Source organism: Homo sapiens, chromosome 21 (genome assembly GCF_000001405.40).
Source record: "Homo sapiens chromosome 21, GRCh38.p14 Primary Assembly".
NCBI lineage: Eukaryota > Metazoa > Chordata > Mammalia > Primates > Hominidae > Homo > Homo sapiens.
The window spans coordinates 17549620-17573613 of record NC_000021.9 but is presented as its reverse complement, the minus strand read 5'-3'; the positions used below and the strand labels follow the sequence as shown (position 1 = coordinate 17573613).

General features: G+C 39.2%; 1 protein-coding gene across 10 annotated transcripts in view; it reads right to left on the bottom strand.

Annotated features, from left to right (window-relative positions):
• CXADR (CXADR cell adhesion molecule) overlaps nt 1-23994 on the bottom strand; it is a 123220-nt gene that overhangs the window by 62649 nt on the left and 36577 nt on the right. For 3 of the 10 annotated variants that reach the window (XR_001754814.2, XM_011529476.3, NM_001207066.2), the window contains exons 3-7: nt 21661-21865; nt 14483-14638; nt 12790-12912; nt 12138-12276; nt 8003-8186 (exon numbers count right to left, since the gene is read on the bottom strand). Coding sequence is in view for 9 of the 10 variants with exons in the window: in XM_011529476.3 (XP_011527778.1) it covers nt 8003-8186; nt 12138-12276; nt 12790-12912; nt 14483-14638; nt 21661-21865 (807 nt within the window). In the remaining variant the exon portion in view is untranslated. Of the gene's footprint in view, nt 1-3513; nt 8187-12137; nt 12277-12789; nt 12913-14482; nt 14639-21660; nt 21866-23994 lie in introns of those variants that run through there. The other 7 variants (XM_011529478.3, XM_011529479.2, XM_011529477.3 and 4 more) reach the window with 5 other exon arrangements.

Here is a 23994-nt window from a genome sequence, read left to right as displayed (position 1 = left end):
AACTACTTTTTCACTTGACAAGCAGATGTGAAGTTAACAAAGTCACCCATATTTGAAATAAAGATAGTATATTCCTGGGGTAGGCAGAGGCAGTTGAGGATCATGAAATAACTATGTTGGCATAGTTATTTAGGTGTTGATACTGTTATTATGCCATTGAAAGTTAAACAGAGAACCCTCTGGGTACATGTTTTATACCAATGCACACTATCTTATTAGTCCCTCTCATAATGTGCAGTCATCATTACTGTTACGGGTTGAGGTGTCCCCATCCTCTATGGGACACCTCTATGTTGAAGTCTCAGATTCCCTAGAATCTCAGAATGTGACCTTGTTTGGAAACAGATTTGCTACAGACGCAATTAGTTGAGATGCGCTTATATGGGTAGGTCCTAATTCAGTGACTGGTGTCCTTAAAAAAATGGAAATGTACACACGGTGGTAGACATGCATAGAGGGAAGAGAGATGGAGAAAATGGTCACCTACAAGCCAAAGACAGGGGTCTGGAGCAGATCCTTCCCTCACAGCCCTCAGAAGGAACCAATCTTGCCAATACCTTGATTTTGGACTTCCACCTCCAGAACTATAACACATTTCTGTTCTTCAAGCAATTTGTAGCCATTTGTTACAGCTAATACAATCACACATAGAAATGACTTGTAAATGACTAGGCATTTCAGAAGACTAGCCATTTAAAAAGACTTTGACGGAATACTCTTCAGGTCTTTTGGAAAGCTAAAATCTTCTAAGAAATTGTTTTCGGTATTTTCGCAGATCACCTCAAATTCTGATACTAAGATATATTATTAGTATACCAAAATTAAACAACAAATTTTAAGCAGGTATTTTTTTTTTCAACCACACTAAAAGTCTGCAATTTTGTGAAGCCCAGGGGAAAAAAAACAACGTTAGTTAGTGCCTCAGCATGGAAATCAGTCATCTGCAAAGGGTTTCCTAAGCACCCAGAGGCTCCCTAAGTTGGTTAATTATTGAAATAATCTGGGAGAGAAGAGTCACTGATTTCACCCTAGACCTATTCAGCGGGAATCCGTAAGAAGGGCTTTAGAAATATATTTCTGAAATGCTTCTTACAATGAGTTCTGTTTTCCGTGTTCGCTACTACTGAGTCAGGTAACCCCATGCTGTATTTGCGCAAGTTAACTCTTTAAGCCAAGTGCAGCCTTTCCCCTCACTGCACATACTCATCCTTTTTCTCATGATACTGCCCCTTTTTTTTTTTTGAGACGGAGTCTCACCCTGTCACCCAGGCTGGAGTGTGCAGTGGCGCGATCTCGGCTCACTGCAACCTCTGCCTCCCAGGTTCAAGCAATCATCCCATTCAGCCTCCCAGATAGTTAGGATTACAGGCATGCACCACCACGCCTGCCTAATTTTTTTTTTTTTTGTATTTTTAGTAGAGATGGGGTTTCATCATGTTGGCCAGGCTGGTCTCGAACTCCTGACCTCAAGTGATCCGCCTGCCTTGGCGTCCCAAAGTGCTGGGATTACAGGCGTGAGCCACCCAACCTGGCCAATACTGCCTTTTTGAAGAGACCAGGCCAGGTGGCTTGCAGAGTATATGATGCATATTTAATGAACACATATTTGTCCCCAGTGTCCATAGGTTTCTTACTAAATATCCACTCAGCATTTACTGAGCAATTTGGAAGTCATAGACTTAGGCAGTGGGGACTGAGGTGGGTAAATCACCTTCAGGTTACTGAAGGAGGTATATCAAGCATGCGAAACAATTAGAATGCAAAGGTTTTGTGCCATAAAAGACCTGTGTTGACACTGAGGAGGGCACAGAAGTATCCCAAATTTGGAAAACCTAATAGCTTCTTTTTGTATAGTTACCTTAGAGTAGCAACTTTTCCCCCTATAAATATTTAACACAATTTAAAAATCATCTAAGTAACAAAGTATGTTTGACTTACATTTTGGAAATACCGGCAGAAAAACTGAGCTTAGTTTCTTGGAGTAGCTTCTTGATTTTTTCACTGTTGGTATTACTGCATCTTGAAATTATCTTTGATTATGCCTTAGACTTACACTATTTTTACTGAATAATAAGTTACTTCATACCCAATGTTGTCTCAGTTTAATCAGCTTTGCCATTTGTTAAGCAGAAATATGATCCAGCCATTAGAGCTATAAGATTAAAATATGGTCTAAATGAAAGGCATTTAATTATTCTCAGTTCCACTTGGCATATTGTACTGTAATCTCGATTCCTTGAAAGTCTGTATCATTATCAGCATCCCAGCTATCAAGGATAAATACAAAGAACTTTCATTATTATATCAGTTCTATCTCTTTGAAATCCTCCAACATCCCCTGTGAAGTAGGTATTTTGTACCATTTTAAGCACTAGGAAACTGAAGCAAAGTGAAGCAACTAGTAATAAGTGGTATTTAAACATGCCTGACTCTAAGCCCTGTGCTCTTCACCTTTTAATCGCCGAGTAGAAAATTTCACATCAGTATAAATCCGTGGTTCTCAAAAGGAGGCGATTTGGCTCCGACCCCAGGGGAGATATTTGGTAATGTTTGGAAATACTTTTTATTGTCACAACTGTGGTGGGGATGCTGTGGTGGCGGGGACCAGGGTGCTACTGATATCCAGCGGGTGGAAGCCAGGGGTGCTGCCAAACATTTCGCAATGCACAGGACAGTCCCCTACGACAAAGAATTATCCAGCCCAAAATGTTAATAGTGCTGGTTGAGAAACCCTAGTATAAACACAATATTCCTCAACATGCTTCTTAAAGTAGCATCAACATCCCATTCTGGTTTTTCCTGAAATCAACATTTACAGTGAATGAAAATACTTTAAGCCATAACGAGATGTTACTTTGGTTCGAATATCTGTGCCTCCCTAAAATTCTCATGTTGATATACATTTTATTAGCCAGAAGCCCAAATCTCACCATTATGCTGAAATCTTAATACTCAACGTGATAGCACTCAGATGTGGGGCCCCTCTGGGAAGTGATCAAGTCAGGAGGACTCCACTCTCATGAATAGCATTAATGGCCTTATGAAAGAGGCTAGAGGAAGCTCCCTTTCCTCCTTTCTGTCATGTGAGAATACAGCAAGAGGCCCCATCTTTGAAACAGAAGGTAAGCTCTCACCAGACACCAAATCTGCCAGTGCCTTGATCTTTGACTTCCCATCCTCATATCTGTGTATATATACACACATTGGGCAATGTATCTGAAAAATGTTTGAGTTTATACTGTAAATTCTGAAATGATCACAGAACGTTGGAGGTTTCAACCCCAAATAGTATATACTGTTATATAAGCACACAGGAATGGGGAGATAATGGTCTGTATGCTTGACATGTTTTCAATGATGTATTAATATGATTGTCGCAATCTTTATTCTTTCTGTTTAGAGGATACACGGGGGGAAGGAAACCATGACACAGCAAGCAGGGAGGAATAAAATATTAAAGCTTTAGTGGACACTGTATAAAAGGCACAATAAAGCCACACCATGAGGCAGAGAACTGCTTTCTTGATTTTATTTCAAAAGTACACAAGGTCACAAAACTAGAGCAAGTTGTTTTTCTTAACAAATTTTGTTCTTACAAATTTCAAAATCTGCACCATTGGATATATAAGCCAGAAATCGTACATACAAAATCTGAAACTGACACTGTCAGTTCTATACTTTGCACACGTGAAGTGTCAGAATATTTTCCTCAGTAGTACAGGTGTATTTATCACTAAAATTCACAATTAGGGAAAAGAATAAGTGAATCAATGAATTGTGGTTCTCTTAAAACTTGTGTCATTAAATAAGTTAGCAGAAAACACAAAGTTCTGTTTTGATGGAGCTTTTAGTCTCGATGACCAAAACCAAACCCAACTGATATGTACTATATTCTTAAATTATAAAATAAGATAAATTATAAAAGTTAACCATAATGAATAAGAGGCTGGGGTTATCTGCTATAAGATAAATGATCAGCCTTCCCTAAAGATAAATAAACTGAACCACAATTCACAAATGTGTTTATTATTCTTCCCTGCTTCTATAACATTTATAAAAGGAATTTGTGCTCAGTTGTGGTCTATTTTAGTGTTAAAATAGGTAAATGAGTAAGAAATCCTATTGCAGAACATGATGCCTTTATTGCTGGAATATCCAAAGGCATTCAAAATATTAAAACTTGCCCAGAACATTTACACTACTAAACACAGGAATGTTATAAAGATATATGTACATATATATATATAATATATAATGTCACAAGCCACTAAGAAGTTAAAATTGTGCCAACATTTTCTACAAACTACTCTTTATGTGACACATCAAAGCATTAACCACATAAAATATGAACTTTTTCTGTTCACACTGGAATAAGGCATCTGAAAGCCCTAAACACTGCTGAAGTGAAAATTAGAAGAAAAAACTCAACATTCACATAACATCAAATGTACATGCTGCACGCACACAAAAGACACTGAGAATATTTTTAAGAAGCCACACATCACAGAATTTGATAGTCAACTTCATGCAATGAGTTCCTTTTATATTTCATCAAAAGGTTTACTTGCCCCTTTACTTGTTCCAAATTTCCAAGATTAACTCTTAAATTTGAAAAAGTATCTTTTTAATAAAAATCAGGTATCTCTTTATATCCATGATCTATATGGATAGTGATTTGGATTTTTTCAATCAAACTCTCCCTAAGATACACTCAGGCTGTGTTTCCATTTTAGAAAGTCCATGGCAGATAGCTCAAATTAAAAAGAAGCAATTTGTCCAGAATAATTGGTTACTGTCATGAATAGTAGACATTTTTGGGGGTGGGGGAGTGAGAGGCTCTCTAACAAGGGAATCATATTAGTTAAGATTACCAGTAAGAAAAAAAAATAGCTGTAAACTACTCCATATTCAAAGTACAGAACTGGCTGGATGCTGCGGCTCACACCTGTAATCCCAGCAATTTGGGAGGCCAAGGCAGGAGGATCTCCTGAGCCCAGCAGTTTGAGACCAGCCTGAGCAATAGTGAAACCCTATCTCTTAAAAAAAAAAAAAAAAAGTACAGAACTATATATTCTACAGTAACATTTCTCTTCAAATTATCCTCTGTAACCTAAAGAGATGGATGGTATCAAGTCTCTCAGTTATAAAGTAGAATAAAATGGCTTTGCTGTTAAGATGCAGTACTGGGCCGGGTGCAGTGGTTCACGCCTGTAATCCCAGCACTTTGGGAGGCCGAGGCAGGCAGATCACGAGGTCAGGAGATCGAGACCATCCTGGCTAACACGGTGAAACCCTGTCTCTACTAAAATTACAAAAACTTAGCCGAGCGTGGTGATGGGAGCCTGTAGTCCCAGCTGCTCGGGAGGCTGAGGCAGGAGAATGGCGTGAACCTGGGAGGCGGAGCTTGCAGTGAGCCGAGATCCCGCCACTGCACTCCAGCCTGGGTGACAGACCGAGACTCCGTCTTAAAAAAAAAAAAAAAAAAAAAGATGCAGTACTGTCCTTGACTGATCTAACGGAAATGCTTTAGTAATTTTTTGTTCAACTACTTGATTACCAGTAGTAATTCGGGAGCAAATATTTGATCTCTGGTTCAACTAAATTATCAGTGAGAACTACTTGAAAACGTATTGGTACTATTTGGCTGACAGAATTTTACAGTGAGACATAAGCCTTTAAAACAATGTCCTCTAAAATATGAAGTATATGGGAAGAGAAGTCTTGTTCCTCATATGTTATTAAAAAAAAAAAGGAAGGAAAGTCTTATACGTGTCCACTTTCTATGATAACTTCTACTTAGATCAATAGGATAATTTTCATTATATGAAAGTCAGGAATAGGAAGAACCAAAACTTTATTATTAATGTTCTGTTTATTTACTTATTTTTTATAATATTTTATAAATAAACTTTATTCATATAAAACAGGCCAAACATCTGACTTTCAAAAATGGCTACTGTTATAAAATCAGAAACATAGAGTGTTGGGAATATTGAAATTTCTAAACCTTTATGAATAACACAATTGCTTAAGTTATATCCACAAAGAACAGAAAAGAGGCAAGCTTGAAAATGTGAGGATAGAAAGGTATCACAGTGATGTGTTTTTAGAAACAGTACCTTCACCTCTAAGCACCTTTCAGGTAGGTGATAGCTAGCTCATAGGCACCAGAAATTCATAATAGAAATTAAATTACCAAAAGGCACAGATGAAAATGTTAACACGAGTATAAAAGTAATTTTACATAAGGTTAAAACCTGTTTTTAAAATGCTTCCAAATATGTAAAACTATACACAAATCCATTACACATTCAGCTTAAGTTTACCATTAAAAAGTGTACACACAATACTCTAACTGTAAATACATGCCACCGTTCATAATATAGCATTTACCACCACAGCACCCAAAGATATTAACAGAAACCAACTCCCTACTAAAATCTAGGGAAAGGTTTTAGAGCTAGTGAAATAATTTATTGCAGACCGTATTTATTATAAAGAAACTGTTGGCTCATTCTACTGTATCCACACTCCCTCACAATCTTAAGGGAAATACAATAAACCCACTTTCTTCTCCTAAAATGATATTTAGCACATTTGGCAAGGAGGAGTAGTCCCTTTACTCCTCCTTCTTATCTTTTTTTCTTTTTCTTTCTTTTTTTTTTTTAAGAATAAATCACCTTCACAAAACTAAGACAAACTTTTTCAAAGCTCAGCTTGATTTGCTGGAACTACACAGAGACATGTTTGATCACACAACAGCAACTGTACATCCTCCCAAGTCTGGAATACAGAATTGATGGAGGACACTTAACTTGCTTAAAATGTATTTGATTATTCTGCATTTATGATAAAAAATATCATCCAGGGATTATATTCAAGAGGGTAAATTTAGGATTACATGTTTCTAGAACATATAATATGTAACACCATCCAAAAACAACAACAACATAAAGCACTGGAACCAAAGAACCACTTAAAATTTAGAATAAATTAGGAAATTTCAATCTATAAGTGTCAAACAACAAATGAGTTATAATATTTTTCTAATAAGAAAAATATCACCTGGGAACTATGAGATACTACATCCTTGATCTGGCTGGCCACCATTTTGAAGACCACCACAGATCTCAAGGCATGAGACTACTCACCAACAAAATCTATCCCTGCTATTGCACCTAGTGTCATCTCAATATGTGGCTGACAGCAAATGTTCTAACTTAATCTGATAGATGCTCCTTTAGCATATAAAAGAGCTTGCTAAGTCCCTATTACCTGTAGCAGTCTATCAACTAAATATTTAAGAAGTCATTTCATAGACAAGGTTTATGAATGACTTAGAAGTAAAATTAGTAATTTCTAAACCACTGTAGTGTTTTCTATGTTTTTAGAGATATTCCAAACACAGAGTTTTCAAAGGAGCTGTAAAACCAAGTACAAACATACGTAAGTAATTTTGTCATGGATATTTCTGTACTAATTTGGGGGAGACTGGTGGGCCATAAATAAATGAAATACACATCCTAAAAATAATGGTAAAAATGATCAAGTACCACTTTCAGATGGTTATTCAAGTATCAACTTGGTATGCAAGTAAGTTCACCCATGTCTTCACCTATGATTTCATATTCAAAGCGCTACATCTTACTTAGGTACTGATAAATTTAGAAAACTTTATAATCAACCTCTTAAAGAAAATCCAGCTTTTTCAGATGGTAAACTTTTCTTTACTAACTTTAGTGCCTGTAACTATTTCGATATAACCAAACAAAAATTTTTAAAAATATATTCCGTACAGTTCCTGATTAACTTATTTTTTGATGTATTTTGAGGCTAGTAACACAATTTAGACCAGAATAGGTTTTCATATATCAAAAAAAGGAAAGGAACACGGAGAGCACAGATGAGACATATGGAGGCTCTATACTATAGACCCATCCTTGCTCTGTGCTGGAATCATCACAGGAATCGCACCCATTCGACTTAGATTAGGGGCAGCTACCTTAGCAGGTGGGAGAGTCGGACTCTGAGGAGTGCGTTCAAAGTCTTCACTTGGTACTTGGTTATACTGAGTCTTGGAATATCCTTCCATGTTGGAAGGAGACATGGACCCCAGGGATGAATGATTACTGCCGATGTAGCTTCTGGCAGTGGACGTACGGCTCTTTGGAGGTGGCACATCTTCCCTGCAAAGCAAAATCCCCAATACATGTCAAGAGAATAAGTTTCTAAAAACCTACAATTATGCAAGCTATGAATCATGGATAAGAGCCTGTATTTAGGTACTAAACATATAAAAGTGTGTGTGTGTGTGTGTGTGTGTGTGTGTGTCACAAAAAAGCAAAAAGCACAAGCCATAACGTCATAAATTGTGTATGTCTCCAATCTGTCATTCTGATTAAAGAGTTATAACTTCACACTTAATGAAATATGGTATTTACACAAATGTAGATGATTCTAGAATGTTGTCTTACAAAACACAAATCTCAAATAGTTTCATATTCTAGTATCACTGGTCAAGACAATCTAGTTAAAGCCATGTAACACTTTATAGTTGAGAAAACACTAACACCTACAGGTATATTTCTATCTTAATCACACCTGTAATCCCAGCACTTTGGGAAGCTGAGGTGGGCAGATCACTTGAGATCAGGAGTTCAAGACTAGCCTGGCCAATATGGCAAAACCCCATCTCTACTAAAAATACAAAAATTAGCCGGGCTTGGTGGCAGGTGCCTGTAATCCCAGCTACTCGGGAGGCTGAGGCAGGAGAATCGCTTGAACCCAGGAGGCCAAAGTTGCAGTGAGCCAAGATTGCGCCACAGCACTCCAGCCTGGGCGCCAGAGTGAGACTCTGTCTCAAAAAAAGAGAAATAAATAATAAATTTTAAAATTTTTTAAAAAAGGAAAAGAAAAAATTCTTTTTATATTAAAGTTATCTAAAACCTTAGCTGAAAACACTACAGATTTAAGTTTGCTGGGAATTTAGGCATAAGAATTTTCATACCAAACACTGACAGAGAGCTCAACTGGCCCTCCACATCCACGGGTTCCACATCTGTGAAGCCAACAAACCATGTATAGAAAATTTTGTTTTAATATTTTTAAAATACCTAACATGTACAGCTTTTTTCTTGTCATTATTCCCTAAACAATACATTATAACAATTATTTACATAGTATTTACATTATATTAGGTATTATAAGTAATCTAGAGATGACTCGAAGTATACAGAAGAATGTGTGCAGGTTATATACATTGTATCTTTTTCTTTTTCCTTTTTTTTTTTTTAATAGAGACATCTTGCTCAGGTTGGTGTCTTGAACTCCTGGGCTCAAATGATCCTCCCATCTCCGCCTCCCAAAGTGCTGGGATTACAGGCGTGAGTCACTGCGCCTGGCCGCCATTTTATATCAGGGACTTGAGCATCCTTGGATTTTGGTATCTGCAGGAGGTCCTCCATGGATACCGAAGAATAACTATGTATATGAGTTATCTTTGGTGCATTTAAAAAATACAGCCATACTCGTTTCATTGTGCCTTGCTTTTATTACACTTCATAGATACTTACTGCATTTTTGTTTTGTTTTGTTTTTTCTTTACAAATTGAAGGTTTGTGGTAACCTTGTGTCAAGCAAATGTATCAATACCTTTTTTTTTTTTTTTTTTTTTGAGACAGAGTCTTGCTCTGTTGCCCAGGCTGGAGTGCAGTGGCGTGATCTCAGCTCACTGCAAGCTCCACCTCCCGGGTTCACGCCATTCTCTTGCCTCAGCCTCCCGAGTGGCTGGGACTACAGGCGCCCGCCACTGCACCCGGCTAATTTTTTGTATTTTTAGTAGAGACGGGGTTTCACCGTGTTAGCCAGGATGGTCTCTATCTCCTGACCTCGTGATCCACCCATATCGGCCTCCCTAAGTGCTGGGATTACAGGTGTGAGCCACCGTGCCCGGCCACCAGTACCATTTTTCCAACAGCATGTGCTCACTTCATGTCTGTGTTGCATTTTGGAAATTCTCACAACAGTTCAAACTTTCTCATAATCATACCTGTTAGGGTGATCTGTGATCAGTGATCTTTGATGTTACTATTTTAACTGTTTTGGGGCACCATGAATGATGCCCATAAGAGACAGCAAACTTAATAAATGTTGTGTGTGTTCTGGCCATCCCCCCCAACATCCTCCCCATCTCTCACCCCTCCCTCAGGCCTCCCTATTCCCTGAGACACAATGATATTGAAATTAGGCCACTTAATAACCCTACAATGACCTCTAAGTGTTCAAGTAAAAGGAATAGTTATCATGGCTCTACTTTTTAAAAAAATATCTTATTTATTTTGAGACTGTCAACCACGGTAGGGTGCAGTGGTGCGATCCTAGCTCACTGCAAGCTCAAACTCCTGGAGTCAAGCAATCATCAGCAAGGCTCTCTTTAAATCAAAACCCAGAAATAATTAACCTTAGTGAGGACAGCATGTTGAAAACCAACACTGGTTGAAAGCTAGTATCTTGCACCAAACAGCCAAACCAAATTGTAAATGCAAAGAAAAAGTTCTTAAAGTAAAGTCAAAGTGTTACTCCAGTGAACACGTGAACGATAAGAAAGTGAAGCAGTCTTATTGCTGATATGGAGAAAGTTTAGTGGTCTGGATAGAGGATCAAAATAGTCACAACATTCCCTTACACCAAAGCCCAATCCAGAGCAAGGCCCTAACTCTATTCAATTCTATCAAGGCTGAGAGAGCTAAGGCAGCTGCAGAAGAAAAGTTGGAAGCTAACAGAGGCTGGTTAATGAGTTTAGGGAAAAAGGCCATTTCCATAACATAAAAATACAAAGTGAAGCAACAAAGTGCTGATGAAGAAGCTACAGAAAGTTATCCAGAAGATCTAGTTAAAAGATCGTTGATGAAGGTAACTACACTAAGTAACAGATTTTCAATAGAGACAAAACAGACTTCTACTGGAAGAAGACACCATCTAGGCCTTTAGTGGCTAAAGATGTCAATGTCTGGCTTCAAAGCTTTAAAGGACAGGTTGACATCTTGGCAGGAGCCAATGCAGCCCAGGAGTTCGAGACCACCCTTGGCAACATGGTGAAACCCCATCTCTACAAAAAATACAAGAATTAGTCAGGTGTGGTGGCTTATGCCTGTAGTCCCAGATACTCGGAAAGCTGAGGTGGGAGGATCACTTGAACCCAGGGGGCAGAGGTTGCAGTGGGCCATAATTGTATCACTCCACTCCAGCCTGGGCAACAGAGAGCGAGACCTTGTCTCAGAAAACAAACAACAAAAAACCCAACAACCAAAGAAAGAAATTGCCATAGCCACTGCAACCTTCAGCAACTACCATCCTGATCAGCCACCAGTCATCAACAGTGAGGCATGACCTTCCACCAGCAGAGAGATTAAGACTCACTGAGGGCTCAGATAATCATTAGCATTTTTTAGCAATATTTTTTAATTGGGGTATCTACACTGTTTTTTTACACATAATGCTACTGCACATTTTAGACTACAATATAGTATAAACATAACCTTTTATGCACTGGAAAAACAAAAACATTCATGTGATTTATCGCAGTGTGCGATAACTCTGAAGTGTGCCTGTACAAGTGTCCAGACCCCACCCTAGACCTGCCAAATGTCAATTTCTAGGGTGTGAAGTCATGTGTTATTACTTCTAAAATTCTATTATCTAATATGCACACTTCTCGTTAAGACCTACTGATTTAGAATATTTAAGGAAAATAAAAATTATACTACCAATTGTTCTACAAACTTCCAGATTACTTGATACAATCAGGTCAGTTTTTTTTTCAAACCTCAATATCTACTTCATCCCTACCACTGCAGGCAGGGATTCTTCTCAAGAAGCAGGCAGTCTTGAGATAATCATTTGGCAGTGGTTCTTAAAATGGGGTACGAGAAGGTTGGGGAGCGGGGCACAACGAATGGTGGTTGGAGCTCTGCACTTGCAGTTAGAAGTAAATGCTTTCAAATGTATTGAGAAGGCGGCCAGAGCTTTTACCCATTCTCCTAAGAAAGATGCTTTGGGTGGTTAATAAGAGAACGAATGCTTTAGAGAAATGACATATATTTGGTATACATCAGTCAACTCCTGTCTCACTTAATTACCTGATATCGTGATGAACTTCCTTTTCATATTTTTCTTCTCTGCGCTTTTTACGACAGCAAAAGATGATAAGACCAATGAGCGCTAGAGCAAGCAAAGTTCCTATAATGGCTCCTGCAATTAGTCCAGCTTTATTTGAAGCTAAAATAAGAAGAATTAATAGTAAAAAATATATACATATATACATGTATAGATACTGAAGGTAGGCTATACATTTTTAGATTGATTTCATCACGTGTTAACTTTAAGACAAATTATTTAGTCTTTTTGATCCGGGGGAAAAATTCATAAAAAGAACTGTCTTCTGAACTGTATAATCTATTCCAAGCATTAAAATGATAAAACCTGTCTGAAAGATTTTAATATTCAAAGCTATCTTGGTTAACATATAAGAATGTTCTAAGCTACTCATACTTATAACAGCTAAATATGGTACAAGGGTTGATTTGACAACTCTTACCTTCTTAATATATCATTGCAATTATGAAGTTTTTTTAATAAAATGTATTTTTCTAGAAAAGCTAATAATCAAACCACAGTGTTCTGATCAAAGTCAGTGTCCCTTTGTCCTTAATACACACTTGCTGACTGAACTAAAGGAGGTGGTATAAAGATAACAGAAACAAAACCACCAACAGAAAGAAGATAACTTACGAGGGACAACGTTTAGACGCAACAGGCACTGATCAGAGCCCACTCTGTTTCTGACTGTACAGCTGTATGTCCCAGAGTACTCAGAAGAGGCATTTTTTACAGATATAACAGATGAAGTCATTTCTATGGAAGGAGGAAAAAGAAAACAAACTCATTTTTATAGTATGTATTGTTATCAGGTGTTAGTAAACATAGTCCTCTCCAAATTAAACAATCCAGTTAAAAGCAAGACAGACCAAGGCTGGATGCAAGCAAACTGGCATTGAGCCACACAGATGTTTCCAGAATTCAATCATGCTTCCAGTTCACATGTATCAAGGTGAAAGTAACCATGATCCCCTGCAGCACACAGCCTCAGCTGGAGCAGGGGTGCTGGTCCACTGTGTACCTGCTGCAAACCCATCTTGGGGCACATAAGACTATAAACGCTACCGCATTCCACAAAGGATCTTTCCTGCAGCAGGAAAACATACAAAACCTATTTTATTCCCCCCTAGATGGAAGAAACATACAAAAGGAAGTCAGAAGAGGACTCCCAGATTGGTCTCTTAGTTTGAAAAACAGAGAGGCAGAGAGAAAACCTACTAAAGACCAGGATGCAGTGGATGGCGGGGTGGAGCCTGGTCATCAGTTTGAACTAAGAAGTCAATTATAACAAATAGGTGAGCAGATTTGGCCAATTTGTAACTTTCTAGTTAGTGTCACACGGGTTTTCTTTTAATTTACAGACACACCATGGGTAAATTACTATATTTTCAATCTAGGCAAAACACTAAAGAGCCAACTCTTACTATACTTTAGCCACCATCTAAGTTGTAATCATGAACATGTCTCATCAATTAAAAAAAAAAAATTCGCCAGGCGCAATGGCCCACACCTATACTTTGGGAGGCTGAGGTGGGTGGAGAGCTTGAGCCCAGGAGTTTGAGACCAGTGTGGGCAACATGCAGAAACTCCATGTCTACAAAAAATACAAAAATTAGCAGGGTGTGGTGACACATGCCTGTAGTCTCAGCTACTCGGGAGGCTGAAGTGGGAGGCTCACTTAAGCCTGGGAGGTGAAGACTGCAGGGAGCCGAGATTCTACCACTGCACGCCCAGCCTGGGTGACAGAGCGAGACCCCTTGTCTCGGAAAAAAAAAAAAAAAAAAAAAACCCAAAAAAAAGTACCAAAGTAACTAATATCCTAAAAAAATGAAATCATAGAATAGCTCTTCATTTATAATATATGACACTAAATTGATATTATAAAACACTGAATAATTCCTATGGAAATCCTGATTATTCTATGTAGAAAAGGGAAAGAAAGCATCTGGGAATCTACAATATACAAGCAGGCTGGGCACATGCCTGGGCTCATGCCTGTAATCCCAGCACTTTGGGAGGCCAAGGAAAGAGGACTCCTTGAGCCCAGGAGTTTGAGACCAGCACAGGCAACGCAGGGAGATCCTGTCTCTACACATTTTTTAAAAAAAAAATTAGCAGGGTGTGATGGCATGCACCTGTAGTTCCAGCTAACTGGGAGGCTGAGGTGGGAGGATGACTTGAGCCTAGGAGGTTGAAGCTTCAGTGAGCCGTGATTGCAGTGAGCCTGGGTGACAGAGCAAGGCCCTATCTCAAATCACACACACACCCCTACTAGATCTTAGTCCAAATCAATGGCATGTGGTACAAATACTATTATCAGCAGTACCTGCTAACCATGAAGTGGGCATTTTCTGTGAGTCAGACAATTTTTGCCACTCATACTGTAATGGAAGTGAACCTTCTTTTGGTTCACATTTTATCTTAAAGTCACTTCCAATTTCTTCAGATCCATCAACGTAACATCTCGCACCTGAAGGCTTAACTGAAAGAGAAAACAAATTATAAATTTACATAAGAGAATGGAACTTACTTTTATGAATACAGCATTGTACACAACCACTGACTCATTATCAGTTGGTTCTGGGTTCAGAATTCACAAAAGAATGAAAGACCACAGTAAGTGATCAACATCAGTTTATTCAGCTTTATCTGACACAAAACAGCAAAGAATAAGCTCAGACAAGCAGCCACTGCATTAGTAGATATGGCAATATCTCAGGCATAGCTCGGTGCCTGTCCATTTCATGGGGCACACCTGAAAAAAAGCAAGAATGATGCACTTGCTTTTTTCAGCAAGACCACTTGAGAGTCAAGGAAGCTCCCCCTCCCATTCCTTAGCTATTCTTCCCCATGCCTGACATGTAACCCTCTGGCAGTATGTACCAAGTCACATCCCTCTAGGCGCCATAACCCTGACAATCAGGCAGTTTATCATCAACAATACTAACAACACTTAGTGTGGCAAGGAACAACTAGCATTCTGCATTTACATCACCTCAAATCCATCCAAAGAGCAGGCTACAAAAAAGAAAACCTGGGCTGGGCATAGTGTAATCTCAGCACTTTGGAGGCCAAGACAGTGGGGGGATCACTTGAGGTCAGGGGTTTGAGACCAGCCTGGGTAACATAGCGAGACTCTGTCATAATAAAAACTTCGAAAAATTAGCTGGGTGTGGTGATGTGTGCCTGTGGTCGTAGCTACTTGGGAGGCTGGGGTAGGAGGATGACTTGAGACCAGGATTTTGAGGCTGCAGTGAAGCTTTGATCATGTCACTGCACTCCAGCCTAGGTGACAGAACCAGACCCTGAATCAAAAAGATATTCACAGCCTGGAAATTCATGTGTAAAAAAGAATATTTAATTAAAAAAAAAAAAAGGAAATCTGAGGTTATATTCCAGGTGTTTCTGGGTAACTGTTTAGAACAACTACTAACTCCATTACCTGCAACTCACCCCAATCCTGGATTAACACCTTGGCATTGCATACTCTTCTGCTGAACTTTAATAAGGTATAATATTCACACAATAAAGTTAACATGTTAATCACGTGGGCTGATCACTTTTAATAAATGTGTCTATATCCATTAAGCACCACTCCAACCCTCTCCCAAGGAAGTTCCCTCATGCTGGTTACAATAGATGGGACTCCAAAACCCTGGACCCAGGAAGCCACTGATCAGATTCTACCACTGTAGATTAGCTCTTCTTCTGGAACCACATGAATAGAATACTACAGTATGTATTTTCTTGTCTTCTTTTATTCAGCATAACATTTCTGAGATTGAGCCGTTATTGTATATATAGTTATTTTAGTATTTCAATGGACTATAACACAAGTTTGCTTATCCAGTCACCTGTTAATGAATACTGTGTTTCCAGTTTGGGGCTACTGTCAAAGCCCAGTCAGCCAAACTGACAAGGAGCAAGTGTGTGGTCTATCAAAATCAGATTGACTAGTGAGGACGGCATTACGAGGAACCACGGAATGCCACTGGACAAGAGCAGGGATGCTGAAGGATTCTCAGGAGGTTGTAAGGAAGTAGCCATCAGCTGTCAATCAGCTGTTTCTGAGATTAGGAAAAATGAGGATTAAACAGGAAGTGGGAGCTGTGAGGAGGTGGGGCCATTTAGTAATTGAGTATTCCAGTAAAGGATGGGTAGAGAAATGTGGGTCTGCGGGCAACACTAGAAAAGACAGCAATAGTCTATGCTTTACTACTACTCTATAACCTTGGGAGAGACAATGTTTTCTATAAACTCTGTGGCTGACTTTAATCTGTATCTGTCCTTCCGGCTGATAAACGTCAAGACTTTTTTCTTTTTTAGTTTAAGCTGATTTTCATTTTTTCAGTCGTGAATGGGTTTTTATTCTTTCACTACTATGAATAAAGGTAAATGCATTTTTGTTTTGCAGTATTATGAATAATGCTGCTTGAACACTCATGTGAACACTGGCGTATGCTTTCCTTTGTCTTAGTAACTGCTGGATCATATGGTGACTGTACATATTTTAACACTGTAAGAAATTGTCAAATTGTTTCCCAAAACTGGCTCAACATGATTTATCATATTCAGTGGGGTATCTTCAACTAAGGTTATCAACCATGACCTTACTCTTTCTTAGTAACTCCTTAACAAATTTAATTGTATTCCCCTTCATCTGCTCCTACTTACATTTTTAAAATAAGGGTCAACACATATTTAACTGCACTGTTGATTTTTCCAAACAAATCTGTTTATTTTTCAATCTGACCAGGTGCTCTGGAGACTACATCAATTGGACTTTTAAATAAGTTTTGCAAATTATTTCATTCTGGGAGTCTTCAATGAAATGAGCCTTGTTCTCTTCCAGTTCTTCAAACTACCAATAAATCCTTTATTAGAATAAATTACCAGCAAATAAATAACTGATGCAATGCTTTGTGCATCAAACATCTATGGGTAATATGGTATTCTAACTCTAACGCTCATCCTTTCTATATCCATTTTCTCCCATATAACCAGCAATCTAAACATATCTAATAACGGATAGTTATTTAAAATAGCTGCTAGGAAATTCAGGGCCTCACTACAACCCGTCCACAATAAAACAAGATTCTACCAACACAGGTTTCTGAATGACACTTTGGAGTGGCCCACCTGCTTTCCACTGGGAAGAGGAAGTACAAGTCTTTTACATGCCAACATCCAACCATTACACTACGAGGAAGATTAATTCTTAACCCATGGTACTCTGCTGGAACAGAAGAAAACCACAAAGAGAGCACGAATAAAGTCTTGTCTCCTAAATGTTTCTTTGGTCTGGACTTCCCACATACTGGCCGCTGTCCTCAGAACATCTGCTTCCATGATCACTAACACAAACAACAGTCCTTCTCAGATATGGGTATGTGACCATCAAGTTGTAGTTGGACATGGTATCCCACCAATTTAGTAATGCTCTGTTCCATACACGTATTCCTTCATCATCTTTTCCTGCTAGTGGCTGCACCAGTCTACTGGAAATAATCTCTAAATCCCTACATGAGACAGGGGATACTTTTATCATGATGTCATCCTTCCAAGAAATATAATTTCTTATTGGTTCAAAAATACCCTGACTCCAGGCAAAATCTATCAATAGATGCTAAAATCAATAGGCAAAAGTTAAATAAGAAATAACATATCTGCATAGTCTCGAAGTAGCTCCCCCAAGACATTTTTTAATTATAGAGGGAAAAATAATAACTCTAGAGTGGAGAAGCCCATCAGATAAAACTTAAACCAAGCGATCACGATTAACAATAAGACATGACATCATGTGCCCCCAGACGTGACTGGAGGAGATTAAGGAGATATAAATGCCATGTGGATTCTAGATGCAATCCTAGTACAAAAAGGACATTACCGGAAAACAGTAAAATTCAAACTGGGTCTGTAATTTAGTTAATAGTATTGTATCAGTGTTAATTTCCTGGTTTTGATAATTATAATATGATTTTGTAAGATGTTAACATTAGGGGAAATTAGATGATGGATCCACTCTCAGAAACTTCCTTGTATTTTTGCAACTTTTCCATAAAACTAAAAATTATTGTAAAATAAAAAGTAGTGAGGGGCCGTGCCCAGTATCAATGGTTTGCAAATCCCTTAGGACCTTTAAGGCCAGTGATGACTGAGCCACTACACTTGCTGCTGCCACTGTGGCATGGTGCAGTGGGAGTATACCATATATGTCCAGGAATTGTTAACTGTGCATGTTCTGCTCTTCAAAACAACTCTGTCTCTTTATACCAAAAGGTTTCAATAAACAGGCCCTTCCAGAGCTCCAGGGGAAGGTGCCCGTGATATATGGCCACAACAGTAACCTTCTATCAACTCTCTTTGTTATCATTTCCCACTTCTGCTTCTTTACTGAGCTGCATCCACAAGAGCTTCTGCTGTGTCTGAAAGAGCAAGGCAGGCACGGCAATGGAGCAAGCTACAGCAACATGCTGCCCCTCACATCCAGACGACTATCAATCATCTCTGTGGGTTAACGGCCACATAACACACAAGCTCAATGAATGCACTGCCATTACCCTGTGAATGCCATGATGGCAACTACTTCAGATTTCCCACAAAAGAACCAAAGCATTAGACAGAGCCACTATCAGTCAATCAAATGAGCTCCAGTGACCACCACTTAGTTGGGTCACTAGAGGGCACTTCATCTTATCTTTTGCCCCAGATAATCCAGGCAGAATTTCCAGGCAAAACTAACAGATAAGCTTCAATCCAATTAATTTTCACCTTCGAGAGAATATAATTCTGGTGGTTTCTCCCAGCAGCAGTCACGACTCATCTAAAAACATGGAAGAAAAAGCTACAAGGAATTCTCTGGCTCTGACACAACCTCGTCCAGATCAGAGTTCCAGTCGTCCCTACTTCTCTTCGGCAATCACTTCCCTGCTTTCTCCTCTCATCCCCAGTTTATCCCCTCTCCCCCTCCTTGGTTTGAACTGAAGGCTGACTTGGCTATAAAATTCTCCCCAGGAGTAACTCAGGGTGAACTGTGTCAATGCTTCCCACTTACCCATTCTTAGGACATGCTGGGGTTCAAAGTTTAATATAAAAAGGCCATTCCTACTGCCGGGCAGTCACGGCTCCTGCCATGAGTGAACTGAGCCACATCATGTGCCATCCCCTACCACCCAACTCAGGTTCCTTTTTGGGACATGTTCTGCTGTAATGTTCTCTTCAGTTGAGAACTGCAAATGTGACCCTGAACCTGGTCCCACAGGATCCAGACAATACACAAACACACAAACATGCTTGTCCACAACTCTTCTGGGAATATGTGCCAACCCCATTAATCCCAGTGTAACTGTCCCATCAAACAGGGGTTTCACAATAAATAATTCCGATAATCAAATATCTTCTGCTTCGCATATCATGAACCAGTTAATATTCCGTATACATCTTCCAACTTAATAGTTCCTAGAGAGCAGTGTTGGAAGAAAGTATAGTCAGGGTTATAATCTCAGGAATTCCTGGGTCTGTGATAAGAATTCAGACCAGGTAGCTGGGTGCGGTGGCTCACACCTGTAATCCCAGCACTTTGGGAGGCCAAGGCAGGCAGATCACGAGGTCTGGAGATTGAGACCATCCTGGCTAACATGGTGAAACCCCGTCTCTACCAAAAATAAAATCAGCCAGGTGTGGTGGCGGGCACCTGTAGTCCCAACTAATCAGGACGGCAAGACAAGAGTATTGCTTGAACCCAGGAGGCGGAGGTTGCCGTGAGCCGAGATCATGCCACTGCACTCCAGCCTGGGTGACAGAGCGAGACTTGGTCTCAAAAAGAAAAAAAAAAAAAAAAAAAGAATTCGGACCAGGTGTTAATCTTTCACTTGCTTATACATTTATAACAAAGAAAAGTTACTCCATGTTTACTCAATGAAGACACAGAAAATTCAAATTTCCAACATTACCATATTCCTTTTCCTGGTTCCTTTTTTAGATTGACTTACTTTCACACCACAAGAAACATTTTTAGTTAGTGCGATTCAGAATGATGCATTTCACCAGGACCTCTTCAGGTCCCCATTCAATGATGCTGCCAGCAGAGTCTATCTACCAAGACAATGCATGAATTTGCCATGAAGGTACACAAAAATCCCCACTCTTGTTCCTAGTCTCTAGGAGTAATAGTTAAGTGCTGGGTCTACTTGTAGGAGGAGTAGTTAAGTGTTGGGTGCCCAAGTCATCTTGAACATTGCTCTCCTAAAGAGTATTCTTGTAATCTCAGCACTCTGGGTGGCCGAGGTGGGTGGATCACCTGAGGTCAGGAGTTTGAGACCAGCCTGGCCAACATGGTGAAACACTGTTTCTACTAAACATACAAAAATTAGCCAGGCGTGGTGGTGCATGCCTGTAATCCCAGCTACTTGGGAGGCTGAGGCAAGAGAATCACTTGAACCTGGGAAGCAGAGGCTGTAGTGAGCAGAGATTGTGCCACTGCACTCTAGCCTGGGTAACAGAGTGTGACTCCATCTCAAATAAAATAATATTAAATTAAATTAAAATTAAAATAAAGAGTATTCTTTAGAATATTCTACCCCACCCCTAATCAGTTCTCTAAACAGAAGGAATGAGGTAAATGTTGATGTGGGAGGCCTGCCCTGATCAGTTATTTCCAGTCATGCTAGACAATTCTAGCATCAGCTTTTCCTATGAAAGTCAATCCCCAAGTGTCCCCTAAAACATGAGGACAGGGGAATTTACTGTCATTAAGCAGAGAGCTAGACAGCTATGTTTTTCTACATGGTAGCCAATGTACATTTTGTGTAAAGCTTACCACAGTATGGTTTTAGAAGTATATTTATGAACTATTATCTTTCAGTTTCTCAATTTGAAGGGATTAAGAGTGCTTGTAGACATTATCACAGAATCTAGAGAAGGATAATAAACTCTGTAGTCTTTGGCAGTTTACAAAGCAGTTTACACTACCTCCCTATTAACTATTACAGAGAGGGCTATAAGATATCAGTGAATGTCTCATCTCCTCACTTTAATGATGAAAAACAGTGATGCCAAGAAGCTTAAATACTATGTGATGCCTAATGGCCTTACTTGAATTCAATATTCCTTCTTCCATATTTCTTCATCTCCATTCTAAATGCTTAAATTATTCATCATAGAAACATGGTTCTACATAATTCTCAGGGCAAATTCTGAGGACAAGGCAAAAACCCTAGATCTCCTAACTCCTAGCTTAGGGTTCTTCCTCCATACCATAATACTCGTTCACTTATTTTCAAACTCTTATGAATTTCACAAAGAAGTTGATCACTTCTTACTTTTCCTATCCAAAACCAAAAGCTAGTTTTATATTTGATGCTATCCAACATAGAAGTACTTCAAGTGTTTAAAATTGTTATTCTAAAAAATTAAGCTTTATTTTATACAAGTGCTGCTACTACAGTACTATGACTAATCATTCTCTTACTCAGTAACCCGTTAACACAAATAAAAATAACTTACCAAGAACTACCAGATGAATCTTCTTATTTGCAACACCAGGAGCTTTTTTCACTTTGCACTGATATGTGCCAATATCTGACAGTTGTAAATTCGTTACATTTATTGATGCATCACCAGATTTGAGATCATTACTCGTAAAATGTACTCGGCCTTTCAGATCTGGATAGTAGTCATCATAAATTTTGTCTCCAGAATATAAAATAATCTAAAAGAAAGCCAAAATTAGACAGGAGGAAAAACAAACACACACAAAAAAAACTGTCTCTTAAAGGAGCCCTGGATACACCTGCTGCTACAGAACGCCCCCTCCCAGAAAAGAAAAAGAAGAACACAGTATTATGGGGAAACATAAAACTACCCAAACCACAGAACGAGAAAATGGAAAGGAATCAATGTGATCCTTGGGTATAGTCCCAGACTTCTATTTTTAATGGGGAAACCAAGACGCAACATGATAAAATAGTAAAGCCCTATACTGTCCTAGAGAGCAATTTAGTAAGATTGGGCAAGAACACAGATTTGCTTGTTCGTTGTCTTTTCTTTTCCTTTTCTTTTCTTTTTGAGGTGGAGTCTGTGTCTGTGGCCCAGGCTGGAGTGCAATGGTGAGATCTCGGCTCCCTCCACCTCCCGGGTTCAAGCAATTCTCTCGCCTCTGCCTCCCCAGTAGCTGAGACTTCAGGCACGTGCCACCACAGCCAGCTAATTTTTGTATTTTTAGTAGACAAGGGATTTCACCACGTTGGCCAGGCTGGTCTCGAACTTCTGACCTCAGGGGATCCACCCGCCTTGGCTTCCCAAAGTGCTGTGATTATAGGTGTGAGTCACCATGCCTGGCCTGCTCATTCTTATATACTCTATTTTTCAACTGCCTCTGAGGCTGTAGTTTGCCAACCAAGTGTAACAAAATCAAGTACCTACTGCCCCCTGCCCCTACAAAGGCTTATCATAATTTGCCTGTGGAATCTAACAAAAAGATAACTTTGTTTGGTCTTAATACTAAGTTGGAGTTACTTGAGGGCTCTAGACTCTAACAGATAAAATCATAAAATAAACCTCTTAAGATATGTGTACCCAGGTTAACAAGTCCTTTGAATGAATCTTCTGTAACTAAAGCAAAGACCTGTGCCTAACCCACTGAGTTTTCTGAACCACACATAGCCTTTGAAGGCAATTACTAAAGGCTGGATGCTTTAGAGGGAAAATAAAATCTATGTTTGGAATATTTTCTTGGAAGAGAACTGTAGTAGTCATCTCTAACAATCTCTAACATTAATTTAACACATTTTATAATTTTTCTTTTTTGCTAATGAAATCTCTTCATTCTGGTTATACGAGACCCATGGGCCAAAGAGCAGTGATGCCAAAACTCAAATAATAATCAGGAAACACAACTACGGCCTGTATCCTGCAATTAATTTCTTTTACCTGAGTGCTAATTATGGGCAGTATAATCAGAATAAATGTCATCTAAGAACACTGTTTTCCAGGTTTATTCTGCAGAAACTTCTTGAGTGGAGGAACTTGGGTTCTCTTCTGTATTATCTCCTTCCCAACCACACTGACCCCACCCCAACCCACCAAAGATCTTTTTTTTTTTTTTTTGAGACAGTCTTGTTCTATCGCCCAGGCAGGAGTGCAGTGGTGCGATCTTGGCTCAATGCAACCTCCACCTCCTGGGTTAAAGCGATTCTCCTGCCTCAGCCTCCCGAGGAGCTGGGACTACAAGTGCCCACCACCACGTCTGCTAATTTTTGTATTTTTAGTAGAGACAGGGTTTCACCACATTGGCCTGGTTGGTCTCGAACTCCTGACCTTGTGATCCGCCTGCCTCGGCCTCCCAAAGTGCTGGGACTACAGGCATGAGCTACCGTGCCCAGCTAGATCTTTTATTTATATATGAACTGTGTGCATCTAGGTTGCGCTCAATACCAGTTTGCTAAGTAAATAAAAGAAGTAGTTGACGGGTCCACAGCTGACTTACTCTGTAAACACAAGCTATTACTTTATTTGCTCAATCTTCTTGACATACCCACTTGTCAAAAGCAACACTGACTACTCCACAAATCTGGCTACTCTATCTTCCTTTGATTAATTTCCTTTGATTAAAAGGCTTATCATAATTTGCCTGTGGAATCTAACTCTAAAGGTCGTAGAGTTCAATCTCTTATACTTCCAATAGCTCATTATGCTCCACACACACCTTAGTAGTCCTTTAAGGGGGGCTTGAGAAATAAGATGCATTCCCGCTGTTGGTTATTTTATAAGCTAGCTTAGTGTCTTCCCAGAAAACAATGTTATAAATATTAGTTAAGGAATGGGAAATTTACCATGAAA